Below are 23,149 nucleotides of genomic sequence, written 5' to 3'. Positions count from 1 at the left end.
TACCCCAGACTCTGCAAGGGCTTCGTCCGATGGTGGTCAAGTCTCTTCAGCTCATGTAGGCAGGACACCTCATTGTCAAGGGCTTCGTGGAATGTGCCCAGCGATGCTCTGAGGGAAGGGAGATGTTGGCTGTGTCTAAAGAGAGCACAAGTGCTATGAAACACCAAGTTACATGTGGACTTTTATACATACTCCTCAAGGATGTACTTCTGTCATTTCAGACATCTTTTAGTTTGTCCTTTTCTCTCACAGTTGAACCCAGAATTAGCTACCTCCAATCCAGCAAGAATGTTGAGTTTTCAGTTTAACAAATGATTTTTATCTTAGGATTCACTGACCTTAAGTTTACAGGATGTGTTTTTTATTTCTCATGACAGTGCTCTGATTTTCCTCTCCTCTCCCTGTTTCCAGCCCCCTTTTATCCCCCGTAGTGACAAAGGCCAAGACATCAATGTGGCCAGGTCCCACCTTCCGGCTGTCGGGGAGAGTCTTCTGCCGGAGGCGCATCTCCAAGTCCCCAGCTCTTCCTGGCCCCTTGTTTTGCTCTCAGCCATGAGCTGTCTTCGTGGCTTTTCAGTACATTCATTAACCTTTGTGCAGGGGGTCCTTGGGAGAGACTAAAAGGACTGGGTGATACTTTATGTCACCATGTTGTGCTCAGAAGCATATATCTTTAATGCTATTCTTTAATGTTGCAAACCATAGTTTTGCAACATATCAAATGTATCCCTAATGAAAATTCAGACCCAAAGGCTTAGGAACCCTAAAATTTCTAAGAGTTTTGATTTAAAACTTCATTCATAGTTTTAAATAATACAGCAGATCTTCAAATAGCATTGTTTCATTCAACATCATTTTGTTACAATAATGATGAGAAAAAAAAAAAAAATCTCAGCCAGGGCCACTGTCCGTATGGAATTTGTACACTGAGTTTTCTCTCGGTACTTTGACTTCCTCCCACGTCCCAAAGATATACAGGTGAAGTTTACTGGCATGTCAGTGAGTGTGGGTTTGTAAGTGCACCCTGCGATGATATGCATCTTGTCCAGGGCTGGTTCCCATCTTGTGCTCTGAGCCTCTAGGAGAGGATCTGGTCACCCATGACCCTAAACTGGAGTAAGTAAGTAAATAATTATCTTACTTGTTTTTATTAATCTTCCTTAAATGTGTGTACTGCTCTCATTTATTTCAATGTTCAATATTAGAAGTGTTTTGACATTTAGTTAGAAGTTTTGTGATGTGTCTGTGACGAAAAATATGTCCTGGTAACTTAACTCTTATTTATATGAATTAGCCTTGGGTAAAATTGGTTTCATTATTCATCGTATCAATTAAAGTCACACTTTGCAAGAACCTATAGATGACATTAAGTAAGGACTTACTATACTGGAAAATGACAAACTTTTTTTCTTTGTTCTTTGTAAAAATTTTAGGCCACTTAAAACTTAACCATTTAACCACTTTAACCGTGTTTACCATTTTAGGCCACTTAACCACTTTTGACTGTTATGCCCTATAATCCTATTGATTTTTACTTCTAGTCCCTTCTAAAAATGCTTTATGCCATGTATTTAAATTCATTTAGGACTAATTTTAGTTTGAGAACTCTGCAGTTTTATGGACCAGTGTTCTTAGCATCTGATACCACTTGGCAAGTGATAGCACACGTAATAGGACACACTATGATTATTGTAGTTTTCAGAGTAGGATACTTGTTGATCTTTCCCGAGACCCCATATCTATCATTATCAAGTGAATAATAGAAAATGTGCAATGTGATAAGTCTTAGAGACCCTCAAAGAAAGATACAACAGCAGATACAAGCAGCAGTTGTGCCTTTATAGTTTTTCCTTAAATGTTTAGCAAGTACAATATTTTTCTCTCACTTAAGAAAGTGGAGGAAGGGAGAAGAGAATCCTCACTCATTTCTGTGTAACGGGAGTTGTTTCTCTCCAACACTAGGCATGCAGGAGGCCTCCATGAAGCTCACAGAGTCGCTGCATGAAGTCTATGAGCCTGACTGGTATGGGCGGGAAGATGTGAAAATGGTTGGTGAGGTAAGAGCTGGGGTGGCTTCCATGAGGCTCCCACGACCCTTGCTCAGTCCACCTGTCCCCTGACTTGCTCTTTCCACTTCACAGTCTTAATCATGAGGCAAGACAGTGTGCTCAGAAGGCACTGTGCAGTTCTGCTGCCTGATGATTCCAAACTTAGAGTGAAAAGTGAAGATGGGCCAGGTGCGGTGGCTCATGCCTGTAATCCCAACACTTTGGGAGGACGAGGCGGGTGAATTGCCTGAGGTCAGGAGTTCAAGATCAGCCTGGCCAAAATAGTGAAACCTCGTCTCCACTAAAAATACAAAAAAATTAGCCGGGCATGGTGGCACACGCCTGTAATCTCAGCTACTCAGGAAGCTGAGGCAGGAGAATTGCTTGGACCCAGGAGGTGGAGGTTGCAGTGAGCCAAGATCGCACCACTGTACTCCAGCCTGGGCAACAGAGCAAGACTCCATCTCGAAGAAAATAAAAGAAAAGTGAAGATGATCATAAAACCACTTGGGTAGAGAGCAGTGTTTTAAGATTCCTTTTTGCAAAATAACAATATCATTTTTCTGTCCTCACTACAAGCCTTAACAGCCCATTTCTAGCAGACATGGATCATGGTGTGATTTGTGTTGTCCCAACTTCACCCGTTCATCTCAATCCCCCTATTGACTATGCCTCCCCAAATGCAGGGACAGGAGTTCAGAAGAGCATCCATTCCACTTTAATACCAGCTAGTCCGTTCACAAATCTTCACTTCACGAAGACAAGCACAAAGTCAGACTGTGAAAAGGAATTTGACTTCAGGAAGGCTTTGGCCCTAGACATGTCTTAACACTTGAAATCAGGCTTCTGGCTGACAGGAGTGAGCAAGTGGGTTTTGTTCTCTGGAAAGCAGAATGGACCAGAGACTGAGTAGCGCTGTGTGACGTTGGACCAGTTCTTTGATCTTCTTAGGCTTTAGTTTCCTCATCTACAAAATAAAAAAAAAATGTATCTACTAATAAGACACTTATTGCCTTTGTGTGGATGTCCTCTACCTACTCAGTGTTTGGTACATATTATGATTACTGATGTGAGACAACTGCCAGTCACAGATTGTCTCACATCCAAGTTCTTTGTTAAAACGAAGAGCAGTTGTTTGTCATGTCCTCTACTCCAGGTGAGTTATTGCAGCTCATTTAGGCACAGACGACCTAAATTTGATGTGGCAGCCAGAGCTCAGGGGAAGGTCTGATAGGTGATGCACTGAATGTCTGTGCAGCCTTGGAAAACCTGCGTTAACAGTGGAGTCCTAGGCTGCTCCATGGATATTCTGACACCCTGACATTGAGCTTCATAATCTTCTTATAACTGAGATGCTAACAGAGATTTATTTATGAGGAAAGCATTTGTTGGCTCCTTTACATCTTTCAAAAACTTTCAGGATGTAGATTTGGCCAAAGCAGACCGCACACATTACTTTCAGATGCAATTATTAAGTAATTGCATCTTCTCACATTTCTTCAATTAAAACACAGTATTTCAACATCATGTTGCTAAATACTTTGTAAATTTCTAATTAGTGGTATAACTAAAAATTCATCACAAAAAAATAATTTTTAAGGAAATAATAGAAACTTGTGTTAATAACTTTTCAGAACACCATGTTACCTTCTATGTGTGGCAAAGGTCACTATTGCCATTTCTTTTTTAAAGGAAATGACTGTTATCCTACCTTGGTTCTTGCAGCTGCCCGGTTTTTTGGAATCCTCAGTTGCACATGCAAACATAGGCTCTTGTGATGATGAAGAAACTGAATACTGCATGTTCAGAGGGTCTACTCACGTCAGCAGTTGAGCCTTTCTAAACAGTGGATTTAAATGTTTTGGTTTGCATGAAATTCTTGAATTGAGATTTGTAAAAATTAGGACTACTTTTCAAAGTGTGAGAAAGAAACAAAAGCAAATTTTAAAAGTGTGTGTGTGTGTTTTAACAAGATGAAAACTTATGTGTCACATAGAGGAATTTAAAGGTCGGCAGTCCAGGTGTTGCATATTGGCCCCACAAGTATGAGGGGCCCAAGTTTGCCATTTTTAGCATGCCTTCACGGGCAAGGTGACTCTCTGAGCACTGGCCATCAGCTCTCATTTCTGCATGCCAGTTAGCAAGGAGGATGAAGTCTGGAAGACAGCCCACTCCTTCCCTCTTTTTCAGGACACTTCCTGAAAGTACATCCCATTGTCTAGAACACAGCCACATGACCACACCTGGTTGCAAAGGAGTCTGGGAAGTGGAGTCTTTATCCTAGGTGGCCAAGGGCCGAGCTAAAATGGGAGGTTCAGTTAGTAGGAAGGAAGAAAGGGTAGAGATTGGTGACAAATAGCAGACTGTGTCAAGAGACCTGGAATGTGCTAGTGAGAGAAATGTGAAGATGACATTCTTGAGTACCTGCTATTTGCCTGAAATTCTGTGAAGCACTTTACATTGCCAACTCATATAACTGGGGGAATTGAAATTCAGGGAGGTCTAGTTCCCCAAAGTCACACAGCTGGGATAAAAAGTCCTCTGGTGAGGCAGCCTGGTGTGATAGTCATTTCCTGACTTTCATATCATGGCTTTGAGTTCAAGGAGACAAATCTGAGTTGAAGCCTGTGTCTGTCATTTATCAACTTTATAACCTTGGCCAAGTTATGTGACATCTCTGGGCTTCAGTGTCCTCTTCTGTATTGTGGAAATAACAAAGTCTTTTCTCATAAAACAATTTTTGAGAATGCCTTAACATAGTGACAGTAGGAATACTAGTTGTAATAATAGTAATACCTAATATTCATTGTACGTTTAACATAATTGATACTCCATAAATGGTAAGACCTTTCCCAATATGACTGTAACTTTTCTGTTTTCCCTGGGGAGGCTTCAGAAATGATTTGTTGTTTGTTTCAGTGGTGGATTTTTTTCTGATTTCATGGAGTGCGTCAAAAGCAAACTGTCTTAGTGGAATTATTCTCAGTCTCTTAGCCCCAAAGTCCATCTATAGGGTTATGGGGATCTTTTGAAGTTTCTGCATTCTTTAGTAATTTAGAATCAGAAATACAGTTTTAATGAGCTGAGCTCTGAGCTAGCCTGTTTTGTTAACTAGAACCAGTGGCCAAATTGCCTTAAAATTTTATTGCATTATTAAATGATTCTCATTTTTCCCCTAGCATCTCATATCTGGGAAAGTATTACTTGTCTAATTTTATAGTTTCAGATTTTTTTAGAAGTTTGGTGAAAGGTATCCAATTAAAATAATTCAGCAGTGGTCTCTTTATTTCTTTTAGAAATGTGATGTGCTGTGGGAAGACTTCCATCAAAAACTCGTGGATGGGTCCTTGCTAACACTGGATACCTACCTGGGGCAATTTCCTGACATAAAGGTATTTTACTCTGTGTCTATAAAGGGAAGGATTGAGTGGGGTCATGTAGTTATTGAAACATGGGCAAGAGAAGAATTATTACAAGTCCTCAAACTGACATCAAAGATAGTTGGTAACTTTTCATTTATTTAAGCGTGGGATTTTTATGTTGTTCCTATCAGTTTGAAAAGAAACGTCATTACAGAAATCACATTTCGCTTTTAGTGAACTGCTTCAGCTTTTATTATTCTACAGAAGTCTTTTTAAACCTATAGATATAAAATCATAAACCAGAGCTACCAAAAGTTCCAATCTTCTTTATAATCAAAACTTTTATTATATAGCATTTGACAGGGATTTCCATTAGAATAACCAGTGGTCACAAGGAAGTGAGAAATTTCATTGTAAATATGAGAGCAAAACCTGATCTTTCCTTCTTTACTGTCTATTTTGCATGCATTTATAGTGAACCTGGATAGTTTTTCTCTCACTGAAATTTTCAGGTTGAAGTTAAAGTGTTAAGATATAAGCATTTTAAATACATTTGCATCTGGACCTAAAAATATTGTGTCTGAAACATTGATCTTATTTGACCCTTGAATCTATTACAGAGGTAAATGGACAAGTGAAGGATTGAATATTGTAGATTTGGAATTGACTCTGGAGGTAAAGATGGCTTTTAAACTATCAGGGTTGGTATATGGTAAATGAAACTAAATGGATCTGACTAAATGTGTTAGACCTATTGACAAAATGCCACATAGAGCAAATCCAAACAGTAGATTTTCGATGATGTTACCATATTAGGCAGCAAAGTGCTTTACTAAGTAGTTGGGCAAATGCAACCTAATTAACAGGTGTGAATTGGGTTTTAAAAATTCTCTGAGAAATTAAAAATTTAAATTGTTAAAAATTCTGTAAGACCATGTGCACCAGGGAACATGTTTTGAGACATCTTCAGATAATTTTGATTAGTCACTCAATTTTTGCCTTGGGATTTGTAATGTTTGTGGAGCAGACAGTCTCACAATAGTAATCACTTCAGAGTACTGTTTATTGCATGGCAAATTATTTTCAAAATTATTTTATTTAATTTATATTTTGTACTTTATTGCGGTAAGAACATATGACATGAGATATACCCTTTGACAGATTTTGAACTGCACAATACAGTATTGTTATCTGTAGGCACAGCAGATCTCTAGAACCTATTCATCTTACGTAACTGAAATTTTATACCCATTAATTAGCAACTGTCATTTTCCAACTCTCTCTAGCCCTTGGCAACCATCATTCTATGTATTCTTTGCTTCTCTGAGGTTGTTTGTAGGTCTTTGGAGAAATGTCTATTCTAGTCCATTGCCGATTTTTAAGTCAGATTATTAGTTATTTTTTCTATTGAGCTCTGGGTGTTCCTTTGTATATTTTGGAAATTAACTCCTCATCAAACATGTGGTTTGCAGATCTTTTCTCCATTTCTATAGCTTGCATTTTACTCTTGATTGTTTCTTTTGCTGAGCAGAAGCTTTTTACTTTGATGCAGTTCCTCTTGTCTATTTTTGCTTTTGTTGCCTATCTTTTTGGTGTCAAGTCCAAGAAATCATTGCTAACACCAATGTTTATTTTAAAACATCTTCATTTAGAAAATGAAGCTTCCCCCCCCCTCAACTTTTCTTCTAGGAGTTTTACAGTTTCAGAGCTTACAATTCAGGTCTTTAATCCATTTTTAGTTGATTTTTGTGTATGGTATAAGATAAAGGTCCAATTTAATTTTTTGGCATGTAAATATCCAGTTTTCCCAGCACCATTTATTGAGGAGACTGCCTGTTCCCAGTTCTGTATTCTTGGCACCCTTTTTGAAGATCAGTTGACTGAATATTTGTGGATTTACTTCTGGGCTTTATATTCTGTTTCAGAGGTCTGTATAACTGTCTTTATGCCAGGACAATGCTGTTTTAATTACTGAGGTTTGTAACAAATTTTGAAATAAGAAGTGTAATGCCTCTAGCTTTATCCTTCTTCTTCAAAGTTGTTTTGGCTATTTGGGATCTTTTGTGCTTCCATGTGAATTTTAGAATTAAAAAAAACTTTCTGTTAAAAATTCCATTAAGATTTTGATAGGGATTGCATTGAATCTGTAGATCACTTTGGGTAGTATGGGTATTTTAACAATAGTAAGTCTTTCAGTCTGTGCACCCAGGATGCCATTCCATTTGTTTGTGCCTTCTTTAATTTATTTTTGAATATTGTATAGTTTTCAGTGTATAAATCCTTTCACTTCCACAGTTAGGTTTATTCTTAAGTATTTTAGTATCTTGGATGCTATTGTAATTGGTATTGCTCTCGTAACTTCTTTCTCAGGTTGTTACCAGTGTATAGAAAGGCAACTAATAATTTTTTTATTATATTTTAAGTTCTGGGATGCATGTGCAGAATGTGCAGGTTTGTTACATAGGTATACGTGTGCCATGGTGGTTTGCCGCACCCATCAACGCATCATCTGCATTAGGTATTTCTCCTAAGGCTATCCCTCCCCTAGCCCCCCACCCCCCGACAGGCCCCGGTGTGTGATGTTCCACTCCGTGTCCATGTTTTCATTGTTCAGCCCCCACTTATGAGTGAGAACATGAGGTGTTCAGTTTTCTGTTCCTGTGTTAGTTGGCTGAGAATGTTGGTTTCCAGCTTCATCCATGTCCCTGCAAAGGACATGAACTCATCCTTTTTTATGGCTTCATAGTATTCCATGGTGTATATGTGCCACATTTTCTTTATCCAGTCTATCATTGATGGGCATTTGGGTTGGTTCCAAGTCTTTGCTGTTGTGAATAGCACTGCAATAAACATACGTGTGCATGTGTCTTTATTGTAGAATGAGTTATAATCCTTTGGGTATATACCCAGTAATGGGATTGCTGCATCAAATGGTATTTCTGGTTCTAGATCCTTGAGGAATTGCCACACTGTCTTCCAGAATGGTTGAACGAATTTACACTCCCACCAACAGTGTAAAAGCGTTCCTATTTCTCCACATCCTCTCCAGCATCTGTTGTTTCCTGACTTTTTATTGATCGCCATTCTAACTGGCATGAGATGGTATCTCATTGTGGTTTTGATTTGCATTTCTCTAATGACCAATGATGATGAGCTTTTTTTCATATGTTTGTTGGCTGCATAAATGTCTTCTTTTGAGAAGTGTCTGTTCATAGCCTTTGCCCACTTTTTGATGGGGTCGTTTGGTTTCTTCTTGTAAATTTGTTTAAGTTCTTTGTAGATTCTGGATATTAGCCCTTTGTCAGATAGATAGATTGCAAAATTTTTCTCCTATTCTGTAGGTTGTCTGTTTACTCTGATGATAGTTTCTTTTGCTGTGCAGAAGCTCTTTAGTTTAATTAGACCCCATTCGTCAATTTTGGCTTTTGTTGCAATTGCTTTTGGTGTTTTAGTCGTGCAGTCTTTGCCCATGCCTATGTCCTGAATGGTATTGCCTAGGTTTTCTTCTAGGGTTTTTATAGTTTTAGGTCTTATGTTTAAGTCTTTAATCTATCTTGAGTTAATTTTTGTATAAGGTATAAAGAAGGGGTCCAGTTTCAGTTTTCTGCATATAGCTAGCCAGTTTTCCCAACACTATTTATTAAATAGGGAATCCTTTCCTCATTGCTTGTTTTTGTCAGATTTGTCAAAGATCAGATGGTTGTAGATGTATGGCATTATTTCTGAGGCCTCTGTTCTGTTCCATTGGTCTATATATCTCTTTTGGTACCGGTACAATGCTGTTTTGGTTACAGTAGCCTTGTAGTATAGTTTGAAGTCAGGTAGTATGATGAAAGACAACTAATTACTTTATGTTGATTTTGTATCCTGCAACTATTCTTATTTGTTTAGTAGTTCTGGCAGTTTTTTTGTAGAGCCTTTCGGGTTTTCCATGTAGAACCTCATAGTATCTGCCAACAGGTACAATTTTACTTCTTCCTTTCCAATCTGGATGAATTTTATTTCTCTTTCTTGCCTAATTTTTTCGTTTGAAAAGAAGTGGTGAGGGTGGGCATCCTTGTCTTGTTTCTGATGTCAGTGGAAAGCTTTCACTTTTTCACTACTGGATATGATGTTAACTGTAAGCTTTTCATATATGGCCTTTGATATGTTGGGGTACTTTCCCTCTATTTCTAGTTTGCTGAGCATTTTATCGTGAAAGGATAATGAATTTTATCAAATGCATTTTCTACATCTACTGAAAGGATTATGCGATTCTTATCTTTCATTCTATTAATGTGGTGTATCACATTAATTGATTCTCATATGTTAAACCATTCTTGCATCCCAGGAATGAATCCTACTTGGTCATGATGGGTGATCCTTTTGATCTGCTGTCGAATTCAGTTTGCTGGTATTTTGTAGCGGTTTTTTGCATCTATGTTAATCACGAAACTGGTCTGTAGTTTTCTTTTCTTGTGGTGTCTTTGTCTGACTTTGATATCAGGGACTTAGAAAATGAGGTTTGAAGTGTTCTCTCCCCTGCAATCTTTTTGGAAGAGCTTGAGAAGAATTGGCATTAATTCTTTTTTAAATGTTTGGTAGAATTTGCCAATGAAGCTATCTGGTCTTGGTTTTGTTGTTGTTGGGAGGTATTTGGTTGCCTATTAAATCTCCTTACTACTTAAAGATGTGTTCAAACCTTCCATTTCTTCATGATTCAGTCTTCCTAGGTTGTATGTATCTAGTAATTTATCTGTCTCTTCTATATTATTCAGTTTGCCAGTATATACTGTTCATATTAGTCTCTTAACCTTTTTATTTCTATGGCATCAGTTGTAATATATCACCTTTCATTTCTGATTTTATTTATGTGAGTCTTCTATCTTATTTAGTTTAGATAAAAGTTTGTTAATTTTATCTGCTCAAAAAAAAAAAAAACTCATAGTTACCTTGATTTTTCCTGTTGTTTTTCTAATCTTTATTTCACTTATTTCCACTCTAATCTTTATCTTTCCTTTCTTTTGCCAATTTGGGGTTTCATTTGTTCTTTTCTTAGTTCCTTGAGATGTAGAGTTAGGTTGTTTATTTGAGATCTTTCCTTTTAATGTATGCGTTTATCACTAAAACTTTCCACTTAGTACAGCTTTTTCTGCTACTTGTTTTAGTTTTCATTTGTGCTGAGATACTTTTTAATATCCATTTTGATATCTTTTTGGACCCATTGGTCGTTCAAAATTGTGTTGTTTAATTTCCACACATTTGTGAGTTTTTCAGTTTTCTTTCTGCTATTGATTTCTAGTTTATTTTATTGTGGTTGGAAAAGATACCTGGTATAATTTCAGTCTTCTTAAATTTGTTAAGACTTGTTTTGTGACCCTTCATACTTTCTATACTGAAAAATCTTCCATGTGCAACTTAAGAAATATGTGTATTCTGCTGTTGTTGGATTGAATATTCTGTATATGTCTGTTAGGTCCATTTGATAGTTGCTCAGGTCTACTGTTTCTTTGTTGATATTGTGTCTATAATTGAAATTGTAATTGAAATTGTGGTTCTATCTATAATTGAAAGAGGGGTATTAAGGTTTTGTATTATTATTATATTGCCGTCTGTTTCTTTCTTCAGTTTGTCATTTTGCTTTACATATATAGATGCTTTATATTTATAATTGCTGTATCTTCCTGAGGGACTGACCTTTTTATCATTACATGTCCTTCCATTTCTCTTGTGACAGTTTTGGAATTTAGATTTATTTTGTCTGATAAGGACAGCCATCCCTAATCTTTTCTGGTTACCATTTGCATGGAATATCTTTTTGCATCTCTTTATTTTCAGCCAAGTGTGTTCTATAATCTAAAGTAAATCTCTTGTAGACAATAAATAGTTGGATCTTTTTTTATTTAAATTCATTTAGCCACTCTATGTCTTTTGACTGGGAATTTAATTAACTTACATTTAAAGTAATTATTAGTAGGAAAGGATTTACTGTTACCATTTTGTTCATTGTTTTCTGTTTGTCTTATTGTTCATTTGTTCCTCTTTTCCTCTCTTGCTAATTTCTGTTGTATTTTGTTGTTTCTTTGTATTGATATGCTTTGATTTTTTTGTTTTACTTTCGTGTAACTTCCATATGCATTTTTGTGGTTATTACAGAATTTAGATAAAATATTTTATAACAGTCTATTTTAAGCTAAGAACTAAATTAACATCAATCACCTATAAAAACTCTATACTTTTATTTTCACCACATGTATACTTTATATTGTCAAAATTTGCATATATTTATATTGTGTTTCCATAAATATATTTTTTAGTTATAGTTATGCTTAGCGTTTTTGTCTTTTTGACTTTTATACTAGAATTGAAAGTGATTTACCCACCACTGTTACAGTAATAAAGTATTCTGTATTTGTCTATATATTTACATTTACCAACAAATGTTATACTTTTTTATGCTATTGTTTGCTGTTTAGTGTCCTTTAATTTCATGTTAAAGAAATCTGTTTAGCATTTTTTATAAGGTAGGCCTAATGGTGATGACCTCCTTCAGCTTTGGTTTGTCTAGCAATGTCTTTATCTCTTCTTTAAGAATGCAAGAAACAAGTATTCTTGTTTCACAGTTTTTTCGTTCTTTCATCACTTTAAATACGTCATCTGACGCCCTTCTGGCCTGCTTCTGCTAAAAATCCACTAATAGTATTACAGAGATTCCCTTGTATGTGAGCAAGTCACTTTTCTCTTGCTACTTTGAAATTCCATATTTGTCTTTGACAATTGATTATAATGTGTCCCTGTGTAGACTTTTAGGGGTTCATTTTATTTGGAGTTTTTGGGCTTCCTGAATTTGAATGAACATTTTCTTTCCCAGTTTTGGGAGGTTTTCAGTCATTATTTCTTTCAATAGCTTTCTGATTATTTTTGTCTTCTCCTTCTGGGACTCCCATAATGCATAAATTGGTTTATGTAATGGTGTCCCATAAATCCCTTAAACTGTTTTCACTATTTTGCATTTGTTTTTCTTTTTGTTCCTCTGACCAAATGATTCTTAATGACCTGTCTGAGTTTATTGATCCTTTTTTCTGCTTGATCTAATATTCTACTGAACGCCCCCCCAGTGAATTTTTCAGTTCACTTATTGTATTTTTCAGTTCTGTCATTTCTGTTTGATATTTTCTATATCACTTTGTTTAATTTCTCACTTTGCGGATACATTATTTTCCTGATCTGAGTGACAGTTACTTTGAATTCTCTGTCAGGCACATCATATATCTCCATTTCATTAGGGTTGATATTTGTAAATTTATTTTGTTTCTTTGTTTGAAACATATTTCCCTGTTTTTAAATTTACCTTGGTTCTCTATGTTGATATCTTCATATTAGACAAAACAGCCACCTCTTTTAATCTTTGTGGACTAGCTCCATATAGGAGAAGACCTTCACCAATCATCCCAGTCATAGATTTTGGAAGCCTCTCAAACTTTTGACTATTCTGACAGTTTTCTTTGTTCTTAGCACCCCCTAGGCATCTAGAGAATGCTGGGTCATTTCAGTGCTCTGAGACAAGCAAGACTCATTTTCTTTGGAAGCCATTTTCTTGGGAAGCCCCCAAAGGTTGTATCGTTGGATGCTTGTTCAACTCTTTCCCTGCATAGATAGAAGCAGGAAACTGGGTGTTTTTTACTGTTTGTTTGTTTTATCCCTCAGTTGAGGGGAGGGGCTGTGGCAACTAGTTGTATGGTAGGCCATACTACTTAGAAGTGTGTTTTTATTTGCTTATTTGTTTCCTCCTGCTTGCTCTACACTAACCTAGGGAGAGGAGCCATGGCAAGTGCCTGCATTCATGTTCAAACCTCTGTTTATTCTCTGTAGACCCCAGGGACTAGTGTATGCTGGACCTGACAGCTATCCCAGACAGGCAAGTAGAAGGCACTCCCTTGGGTAGAAGTCAGAAAAGTTGGGATGCTAGATGTGCTGTCCTATTTCTTCACTCTTCACTGAGAAGTAGGTAGCTGGAGGTTCCCTCTTCATTATATGGCACTGTGCTAGGGATAGCAAGAATGTAGCTCCCCTTTTCCTGCTTGTTTCAATGTGGCTGGATTTGCACTTGCCAAGGGTTAAGGAGCTATTCAACGAGTTTCTGGGTGTCTTACAAACAAAAATTGATTCCTGTGTTGGTATTAAATCTGTATGTTTGTGGGGAAGGAGAGTCCAGGGCTTCCTATTCTTCCATCTTGCTACCATCACCTTTATTGCATGGTAATTTAATCTCCTTAAAAGCAATACTTAAGAAATCAGAAGAGGTTAAATTGTGTCTTCCTACCTGAAAATTCCAAAGCAGCTTACAACTTGTTCAAATTATTCATATGATATATGTTCATAGTATGACTTAGCTAAGCAAATAAAGGCTGTGACTAACTAGAGAAGCAAACATCTGAAAGTTTTTTGAGTTTCAGGAACAAAAACTTAGTATCATTAATAAAATGGGAAGATCTTAGTTATTGTACTATATTTAGAAATTGGCCACACTGTCTAGGAGCATGTAATTTCAGAATACAAGCACATACAGAATTACGTTTATTGAAACACAGAAAGATTAAAATAAAATTATGACAGATTATATTGGCTGGTCTTCTCAGTTTATTCCATGTCAGAAAGATGAAGAGCTCAATATAACTTTTCCTTGAGCAATTCTTTTATTGAGGTCCATGGTTGAGGTCATATACAAAGATGATCCTGCAGTTTCTGAACCATGTAGAGATTTGGAAACAATATCATCTAGATCTTTTGCTGGATGCCCTGAAGGTAAGGTAAATATACGTTAAGGTTTTCTATGTATCATGGAAAGAGGCTGAATCTCTCTCTCTCTGTCTCCCTCAAGCCACATTTAGGAAACTGGAGCATACATAGAGGCTATCAACCAAGATAGATAATTGTGAAGCCATATAACACAAGTAACAGTTGAGGAAATCAAAATGCTATTAACTTGTAATAGCTATGCTATTAACTTGGAAAGGAGATAATTTGGAATTGGAAAGTGAGAAGATAGCTGTATTTAATATTTGAAAGAAGTTTTTCTGTGAAAATGGACTTAAGTTATTCTGTCTGCCTTTATTCAGTGAAGGGAAGTTAGAAGTAGATATAGACTCCATCACTTTATAAAAATAGTGTTGAGTGATTATGTAATGAATGAGCTATGATGGAAAGGAAGATTAATCAACTTACATTTAAAGTAATTATTAGTAGAATACTCGGTGGAGTATTTTACAAAAATACTCAGTGGAGAATTTTTAAAGCATGGAACACAGTTGACTTCCTTGCCTCCTATTGAAATCAACAGGCCATGTGCAGTTAAAACCTCAGGCAAATTTCCAAATATTTACTTGAGCCCATCAGTGAGGGCTATGAAGGACCATTCATGAGGGGATGATGTTTAACTTTTCCAGCTGTGATTGGCGGGATACCCTGCGTTATGGTTTCTGTTATGCAGCATTGACATCTGAAATCACTGTTATAATAAGAGCCTGCTTGTCACCAACCCAGGCAGGCTTACAGCTGTGAGCAGTTATTGTAAAATATAGTTTGGATTCTATCTTGGCAGCCATGCATGAGCAACTAAGCATGTATTTACTGCAGTGTACCAAAATGAATTCCAATTTGGGATTATTATGGAAGTTTAAAAAATGTATAATAACTTATTTTTTAACTATAGAGGTTCAGTGCACAATGAGAAATCTCAACAACTTCTTTTTCTCTTTTCAAGAAATGTAAGTTAAATTTATAATGTAATTTAATTAAGTTTCCTATTGGATGGTTAAATAAGAGAATTATATAATTTTCCATTAAAAAAAGCTAATGTGTGTCAACCTTACCCTTATTTAGGAGATTTGGGTTTTCCCCCCAAGTTTCCCAAATATCAGATAGGTAAGGAAATAAGATTGATTTATCTTTTCTAACCCCAAAATGTATGCATCAAAATGAGTGATATTCTTCAAAATAGTCATTTCTACCATGGTAAGCTATCCTTGTAATTGACTTAAAAATTACATAAGAAAATGAGTCACATTATTTACTTTGCTTCTTGTTTTTGAACAAAAATAAGATTACCCAGTGCACTCTTCCATCTTATTCTAAGACTTAAAAGTTATTGATTCATAGATGCTTTCAAAAATCAAATTCATCTTCAGAGAATCAAGATTTGCTACTTGGAAGATATTAAAGGAATGCCCCAGGCTAGAAGGCAAGTCCATAAGGAAGAGCTTTATAAGAGTTTGCATATAGTTACGTAGGCCACTGCTTCAAGGGATAGCCTCCTTTGAAGGTAACACATTTTTGCTAAAAGTAATGAGCCTTGTCACCTTATAGGCACATGGTGTTCACCATACCTAATTGAAGGGTTTCCACTCTACTCTGCCTAGGCTAACTCATTGCATACTTTGAGTGACTGGGTGTGTATCTCCATGCTTTCTGCTAGTATACTAGTTGTAAGTGGTAGGTGCAGGGAAAATGAAAGCAATTAGAAATAGCCAAAGAGGTTAACTGCCCCAACCCACCTCTCACCAGTCCTGAAGGGTGTGTAGAAGAATAGCATAGAGTGACAGGTTGTAGTTGACTCATAAAGTCTGTCAGAGAAATGGTGGGAGCTGTTGGAAGAAGCACTAACCGAGACTGAGAAGCAGGGATGAGATTGGATGAGGTGAGCAAAGAACCCGTGGTGCAAATTAGAGGGAGGAAGTTGCTAACCCTGCACTCACATGACCCTGAGAGTAAGGGGCCTTCTTAAATTTTGTGCCCTGTCTCACCTGCCTCACCCTACTCCTGGCGCTGGTCACTGGGGCCAACTTCTAATTCAGTTCACTTTTGCCACAGACTTGCTGAGCAATTTCGGACAAATTAGAGGTTATCTCATGCAGCTCCACATTTCCTAAAAGTAAAATGGAGATAATCCCTGAAACACTCATTCTGTAGGTTGCTAGAAGGATCCATCAGATGTGACAATGCCTTGTAAGCCATAACCATTTATATTATTGTGTTTTTTTTTTCTTTTTCCTACCATATCAAATTTTTTAAAGCATCTCCTCCTGGGTTAGTTCTTATTTTTCAAATAGCTGGGCATAACTGGACTACGGGGAAGATTTTTTTTAAACTGTAGATATCTAGGGCTTGCCTCAGTCTAATTAAATCAGAATCTCTTAGTGTAGGGCTCAGGAGTCAATATATTTTATGATACTTCCTTATTCGTTCTACTTATTTTTACATTTTTCTCATTTATTTGATGTATAACAATTTATTTAATTGGCATATAATAATTGTTCATATTTATGGGGCACGTAGATACTTCTTTATTAATTTATTTCTTAGTTGCTGCCTTATAATGTATAATATACATCTTTAACATATTAGGTTTAACTTGAAATGATGTATTACTTCATGTATTATTTAAGAACAGTACAACAGTACACTTTCAGTTCCCACCTCCTTTCCTTTGCACTGTTATTGTCATACATTTTTCTTTTACATGTTATAAACCCCACAATACATTAGTTATGTTTTTTTGCTCTGAATGATCAGTTACCTTTTCAAGCAATTAAAAGTAGGAAAACAAAATCTTTTATATTTTACATTGATTTTTATCATTTCTGGTACTCATTTTTCTGTGTAGCTCCACTTCATATTAAAATTCTTATGCTGGCAATGAATTCCCTCAGCCTTTGTTTGTCTGAAAAAAAATATTTCATCTTCACTTTTGTAAATATTTTCATTGGGTGTGGAATTCTGAGTTGGCAGATTTCTTTTAACTTTTATTTTTCAGTACTGTAAATATATCATCCAATGTGTTCTGGTTTGCATGGTTTCTGAAGATTAGCATCCCGTAATTCTTACCTTTTTATTGTATGCTTTTCTTTTATTCTTGATGTTAAGTAGTTTGACTATGATGTATTTAGATGTGTATTGTTTGGTATTTTTCCTTTTTGGTATTCTCTGAGTTTCTTGCATCTATACTTTGATGTCTTCATTATTTAAAAAAAATTTTCAGCCATTATCTCTTGAAATATTGCTTATTATTCTCTCATCTCTTTTTGAGACCTCAATTATATTATGTTAGACCATTTTATATTACATTGTAGGTCTTAGATGCTCAATTCTCTGTTTTCTTCAATTCTTTTTCCTTTTTGTGTTTTAATGGAAATAATTTATTGTGACCTGTCTTCAAGTACACTATTTATTTCCTCAGCTTTTTCGAGTTTAGTAATGGGCCCACTGAATCAATTTTTCCTCTCTGATAACATTTTTAAAATTTCTAGTGTTTCCATTTGATTTCTATTTGACCATTAACGTTTCTATATCTCTTCTGAAATTCCCCATCTGATTATCTTTGTTGTTGACTTTTTCAAACTAGATACTTTAACATATTAGTCGTAGTCATTTTAAAATTCCTGTTTGTTACTTCCAACATCTGAGTCATGTCTGAGTCTGTCTCTGTTGTTTGCTTTACCTTTTCTCATGGATTGTTGTTTTTTTGTTTTTGTGTATTTTGTAATTTTTGATTGAATGCCAGACATCATGTATAGGATAGTGAGTACTGAAATAATATTTATGTCTGGAAATTGGCCAGCCTTTTTGTCAGGCCGTTAATGTGAGAGTTGGAATCAATTAATCAGGACCTGAGCTGCATTGGGTCTTTATTTTTGCTATTGTTACTTCAGTGCACCGCAGCTTTCAAATTCCTCCAGAATTGGACTGCTAATGCCTTGTACTTATATTTTAATATCTGTAATATTTTCAAATTCTTAGGTTGAAGCCTGACTTGGGGGCCCTTAGGTGCTGGAGGGTTTCTCTCAGTGTGGCTGCTGCTTATTAGATTTTAGTTGTCTTTGTATGCCTGTAGAGACCCCTCTGCAGAAGGGGTCTCTCTCCTTGCACTGTCCTCCTCCAGTGGTAGGCCACTATTGCTTGTTTTTTAGTGTTATAGCTTGTAGTGGAGTTAGGGCTGTTTTTGTTGTTGTTGTTTTGTTTGTTTGTTTGTTTGTTTGTTTGTTTTAAATCCTTTCCCGGCCTTGTTTTAGGCAAAGTCAGCCTCATATCTGTGGTTGGATTTGAGCGAGAGTTTCCTTCCCTGCCCAAGTTGGAGCAGTCCACTACTTGTTGTAGGAGTCAGGTCTTGGGCCTAGGAAGCTTTTATGCCCCTTGAGACTTTTTCTTTTACCCTTTTGCCTACAGCAATTATTTTTGCCTAAAATCTAGAGGTCAGAAGGCTCTCCATCTCTACCAGAGCCACATTGGTTTTACTTTTATTGCTCCCCGAGAAGCAGTAGATCTTTGCTTGCACCTGTGGGTAGAAGGGTTTGGTGCCCCCTCCTCAAGCGGCTTAAAGCTTTTTGTTTTTGTGGTTGTTGTTGTTGTTGTTGTTAAGAGGAAATGTTCCATAGAAATGAGCAGGGCTTTACGCCTATCCCCTAGCAGCCATATATCACCTCATTCTCATCCACACTGCAAGGGAATGTCTTGTTCTCAGACTTTCTCATGGCTTCCAATGTTGACCCATGGGAAAGAGCTTGCCCATTAGCACAATCTGTGCCTTTGGCCCTGTGTCTTTGGCCACCAGCTATTCCAAATGACACATTAGTCCAGGGGATTCTAATGAACAAAGTATTGAGAATCACTTGTAGGAAAAGAGATTTCTTGGGAAGTAAATCTGTTTTTATAGAATTGCTGTTGGTGTGAGTGTTATCAGAATTATAAAACCAAATCTAACATAGTTTCCCACTATCTTCAGAATAGAACATTTAAAGATTTCGACTAGAGAATAATGAGTATAGTTTTGCCTTCTCTCCCTGACCAATTCTGGATTATTTTCTGGTCTTTGACTGCAAACTCTGCCCTCAGCTGCTTGTGATTAGCCTAATTATTATCAAAAGGGAAGATATTTATCTAATGGCTTCAACACAAAGGATTGGAGGTGTTCATCTGATTTTCAGGAGTCACTTAGCTAGTGAAACTCCAGCCCATCTTGATCTCCAGTCAAGATCCTCAGCAGCTCTGGCCAAGGAAAGCATTTTGGCACCTGGCTGTCAAAGGGAGACTCTTATGTCCATGCTTCTTTCTTAGTGAGTGCATTTCCTGTTGACAGAATCGCATCGCCAAGCGCAGCAGGAAGCTAGTGGACTATGACAGTGCCCGCCACCATCTGGAAGCTCTGCAGAGCTCCAAGAGGAAGGATGAGAGTCGAATCTCTAAGGTAGGGATTGAGCCCATGGTGAATACCACTCTCCGTATTTTATGACCTGTTGCAGCTTTACTTTTTAAAATTAAATGCCTCCTCTATAAAAGGAGATTGGAATCTGAACAGAATTTAAACTGAAACATAGTGCTTTTTATTATTTTTAATTAAAATAAGGCTTTTCATTATATTGTACAGTTCATATGGGGGATACTGACTCACACATTTTGATCAGAATAAACTTTGACCTACAATGTTGCGGGATCAAAGAAAGTAGTGTGTCTGCACTTCCTTAGATGGTTGTGGTCCACCCTCAGTGCTGAAATGCAGATGCAGATGGGACACCAAGCTGAAATTCTCAGAGGTGACTTTTGATTGTCTGAGAGTACGGATGTGTGGATTTGCATAAAACAAATTTTCTGTTAGAAAACATTTTTTAGTAGCTTTCACCATGTATGTCAGCAAGTTACAGATGCCGACTAACTGAAGTCACCTCCTAACTATACCCTCTTCTTCCAGTCATGCCTTTTCCTATGTGCCTACACACAGCTGCCTGAATGGTCTTTCTACATCGAGATATGTTTCTCAACTGCTTAAGTCTTTTAATGGTTTCTATTGCCTCTACAAAAAATACTTTATTTCTTAGTACAGCATAAAAGATCCTCACAATTTGGCTGTAACTCACCTGTCCATCCTGATCAACTTTCAAGTCTCCTTTCCCCTCCTCGCCTTCTTCCATAAACATACCATGAGCCAGAACTACACATCAGTTTCTGAGCAGTTCACAATAACAAATGCCCTTCATGAGAGGCCTCCTGGATACCAGGCACTCTGTTCAACACTTCATCTACATTAACTTTCCTTAATACTCAAAACAACCTGTGAGGTACACAGTGGTAAAGCAGTCTGACAAGTTCACATGGTAAGCTGGAATTCCATTTCAAGGCTTTCCACCTTTATGTATTGTAATGTCTTTCTTACCCCCTCCTTTAGCAAACATTTTCTGATTCTTTAGGATTCAGTTAAAAAATTACCTTCTCTCTTCTCTGCACCACCTTCCATATAGCATGCTCTATAACACATTGTAAGTCCCTTTTGTAAATACATCCTGTAATGTAATTATTTAGACTTTCCACTAGGCTGGGAATTTCCTGGGGATGCATTCATGTTCAGTATCCATAGCAGAGCTGTCTACATGGCAGGCAGCTAACACATTTTTGTAGAATAAATGAATCAGCCAGAAACTGCAAGAGCAACCATTGTAATCAATCCGGTTTCCAGTTTTAGGGAGTCTTAGTGTTTCATGTTTAATTGAAAAACAAGGATATGCTTTTAACCAAATACTCTCCTTCTCAAAATATTTCCAAGATGCCATAAGACTATTCTTATTTTACATTAAATGATGCTGTTGTGTATAGAAATGGTCTTTCTTAGTGTAAACACATGTTATGTTTCATTCCTAGGCAGAAGAAGAATTTCAGAAAGCACAGAAAGTGTTTGAAGAGTTTAACGTTGACTTACAAGAAGAGTTACCATCATTATGGTCAAGGTAAAAATGTTTCTCTATGGGTTGCACATGTTCCTTTTAGAAATTCAAGATCAGTGAATATCCCTTATCTTGTCTTTATTATTACTGTGACATTTCAACACTGTCCAGTGAAAGTGTTCTTTATCTGCGCTTTCCAGTATGGTAGCTACTTGTCACCAGTGGGTATTGATTGCTTGGAATATGGCTAGGATTAAAAAGGAGGAACTAAATTTTAAACTTAATTTATTTTGTTCTAATTTATTTATATTTAAATAACCACCTGTGGCTAGTAGCTGCCATATAGGATGACACAATTTTAGACCTTGATCTATTTCTCAAGTGGAGACCTAAATCTCAATTAGAGGCATTAGGAGGACTGCCCTTCATCTTGAAACTTAACAATAATATCCTTTCAGTTCTTGGAGGAACTTCCTTTATTCCAAGAGCTCATCTAGTCATCTGGCTTAGATGGTAAGCCTCTACTTTAAGCCCTGACTTTTAAATCTGAACTGTATTTGTATTTTAAGCACCAGATATTCTTACTTACACGTTACTCTGCATTTCTCGTGGAATTACGTGCATTTTGAAATAGTTGTTCTGTTTTTCCTACTCAGTGGTAGAACAAAGAAGTTGTTGGATGAAATAGGACCTTATGATCCTTAATCTCTGTCAGCATCCTCATGCTCCCACCCCAAATTAGCCAGAGTTGTGCTTAAAATAATGCCACGTTATTTTAAATCAGGTCCTCTATTTCTTAACTTCCAACTAGATGGATTTGCCTCTAAAGCCTTCCTATATACAAATTCTAGAGCTTCTATTTACCCACCAAAATTGTAAGCATTTTGAGGGTCTATACTAAAGTTTGCCCATTTTTGTGTTCATCGCTAGTGTTTTTAATTTTTGCCAATAAAAGGCACTCTGTGTTTCTCTCTGAACTGAAATATCTGGATGAAATTTTGGCTAGTTTTTACCTCAGTGTCCAGCCATCACCCAAAGTCCAACATGTGAAATTATGTCATTGTTCATCTGAATTTACTCATTCTCTCTACATCTGCATTTCTTTTTCTTTTTATTTATTTCATTTTATTTTATTTTATTTTATTTTTTTGGTGCCATTATTTCTGGGTTCCGAAACCTCAAAGCTTTGCAATTGTTACCTACAGGAAACCAAAGAGCCATCAAAATAATCAATCTATCATTTTTTGGTGTGGGCTTCTGGATCACTCTCCCTTTCTCTGGTCCCACTGTCCCCACCCTAACCCTCGTCATCCTGTTGTGTATTATGATGGTAGTCTTGCCCTTACATTTCTTTCTTTGACCTCTTGCTGTACACCTTTTCTTTCAGAAGCTCCACCTTGACATCTCTGTGGCCTGCTTAGGACCTCACTGTATGTGCCTAAAGAAGACCTCTTCTCTCCCCCAGAGAGGATTTAAACAACCTGAATATATACAACTTTTAGGGATAGAGATAAAACAAATATCTATTTATGATTTGAATTTATTTAGTTATTCACATTTATTTAAAATCACAAATTATATGATGCTATGGCTTTTTTTTAAAAAATACAGATATTACTTTTTTGCTCTTACATTTCATGGAATACTTTTTTTTTTTTTTTTTTTTTTTTTTTTTTTTTTTTTGAGACGGAGTCTCGCTCTGTCGCCCAGGTCGGACTGCGGACTGCAGTGGCGCAATCTCGGCTCACTGCAAGCTCCGCTTCCCGGGTTCACGCCATTCTCCTGCCTCAGCCTCCCGAGTAGCTGGGACTACAGGCGCCCGCCACCGCGCCCGGCTAATTTTTTGTATTTTTAGTAGAGACGGGGTTTCACCTTGTTAGCCAGGATGGTCTCGATCTCCTGACCTCATGATCCACCCGCCTCGGCCTCCCAAAGTGCTGGGATTACAGGCGTGAGCCACCGCGCCCGGCCTTCATGGAATACTTTTATCCAAAATCTTTACATATATCTTTAGCATCACTTGTTTTTGTCCTTACTTAAGATACTCATCATC

The 23,149-nt window shown here is 36.9% G+C and overlaps 1 protein-coding gene across 8 annotated transcripts in view, besides 5 other annotated features; it reads left to right on the top strand.

The window, feature by feature from the left end:
• Positions 1–23,149, top strand: part of AMPH (amphiphysin) — a 247,670-nt gene that overhangs the window by 134,884 nt on the left and 89,637 nt on the right. For all 8 annotated transcript variants that reach the window (XM_006715690.5, XM_011515271.4, XM_017011996.3 and 5 more), the window contains exons 4-7: positions 1,963–2,057; positions 5,345–5,440; positions 19,521–19,628; positions 21,074–21,159. In XM_006715690.5, the coding sequence (XP_006715753.1) occupies positions 1,963–2,057; positions 5,345–5,440; positions 19,521–19,628; positions 21,074–21,159 (385 nt within the window). The remainder of the gene's footprint in view (positions 1–1,962; positions 2,058–5,344; positions 5,441–19,520; positions 19,629–21,073; positions 21,160–23,149) is intronic.
• Positions 13,020–13,189: an enhancer, noted in NCBI's record as "experimental_98599 CRE fragment used in MPRA reporter constructs". NCBI's record gives its function as "activates a minimal promoter by MPRAs in K562 erythroleukemia cells, with activity observed for both the introgressed and non-introgressed 7:38522986 or rs1558617 variant alleles {active_cell/tissue: K562}" and the evidence as "EXISTENCE:reporter gene assay evidence [ECO:0000049][PMID:34662402]".
• Position 13,104: a transcriptional cis regulatory region, noted in NCBI's record as "Neanderthal adaptively introgressed variant 7:38522986 (GRCh37/hg19 assembly coordinates) or rs1558617 in the experimental_98599 CRE". NCBI's record gives its function as "modulates activity of the experimental_98599 enhancer by MPRAs in K562 erythroleukemia cells {active_cell/tissue: K562}" and the evidence as "EXISTENCE:reporter gene assay evidence [ECO:0000049][PMID:34662402]".
• Positions 18,966–19,135: an enhancer, noted in NCBI's record as "experimental_98595 CRE fragment used in MPRA reporter constructs". NCBI's record gives its function as "activates a minimal promoter by MPRAs in K562 erythroleukemia cells, with activity observed for both the introgressed and non-introgressed 7:38517040 variant alleles {active_cell/tissue: K562}" and the evidence as "EXISTENCE:reporter gene assay evidence [ECO:0000049][PMID:34662402]".
• Positions 20,677–20,846: an enhancer, noted in NCBI's record as "experimental_98589 CRE fragment used in MPRA reporter constructs". NCBI's record gives its function as "activates a minimal promoter by MPRAs in K562 erythroleukemia cells, with activity observed for the introgressed 7:38515329 variant allele {active_cell/tissue: K562}" and the evidence as "EXISTENCE:reporter gene assay evidence [ECO:0000049][PMID:34662402]".
• Positions 21,138–21,307: an enhancer, noted in NCBI's record as "experimental_98586 CRE fragment used in MPRA reporter constructs". NCBI's record gives its function as "activates a minimal promoter by MPRAs in K562 erythroleukemia cells, with activity observed for the non-introgressed 7:38514868 variant allele {active_cell/tissue: K562}" and the evidence as "EXISTENCE:reporter gene assay evidence [ECO:0000049][PMID:34662402]".

Source organism: Homo sapiens, chromosome 7 (genome assembly GCF_000001405.40).
Source record: "Homo sapiens chromosome 7, GRCh38.p14 Primary Assembly".
NCBI classification, from domain to species: domain Eukaryota; kingdom Metazoa; phylum Chordata; class Mammalia; order Primates; family Hominidae; genus Homo; species Homo sapiens.
The sequence above is the reverse complement of the archived record's forward strand: the minus strand, read 5'-3'. Positions and strand labels throughout refer to the sequence as shown.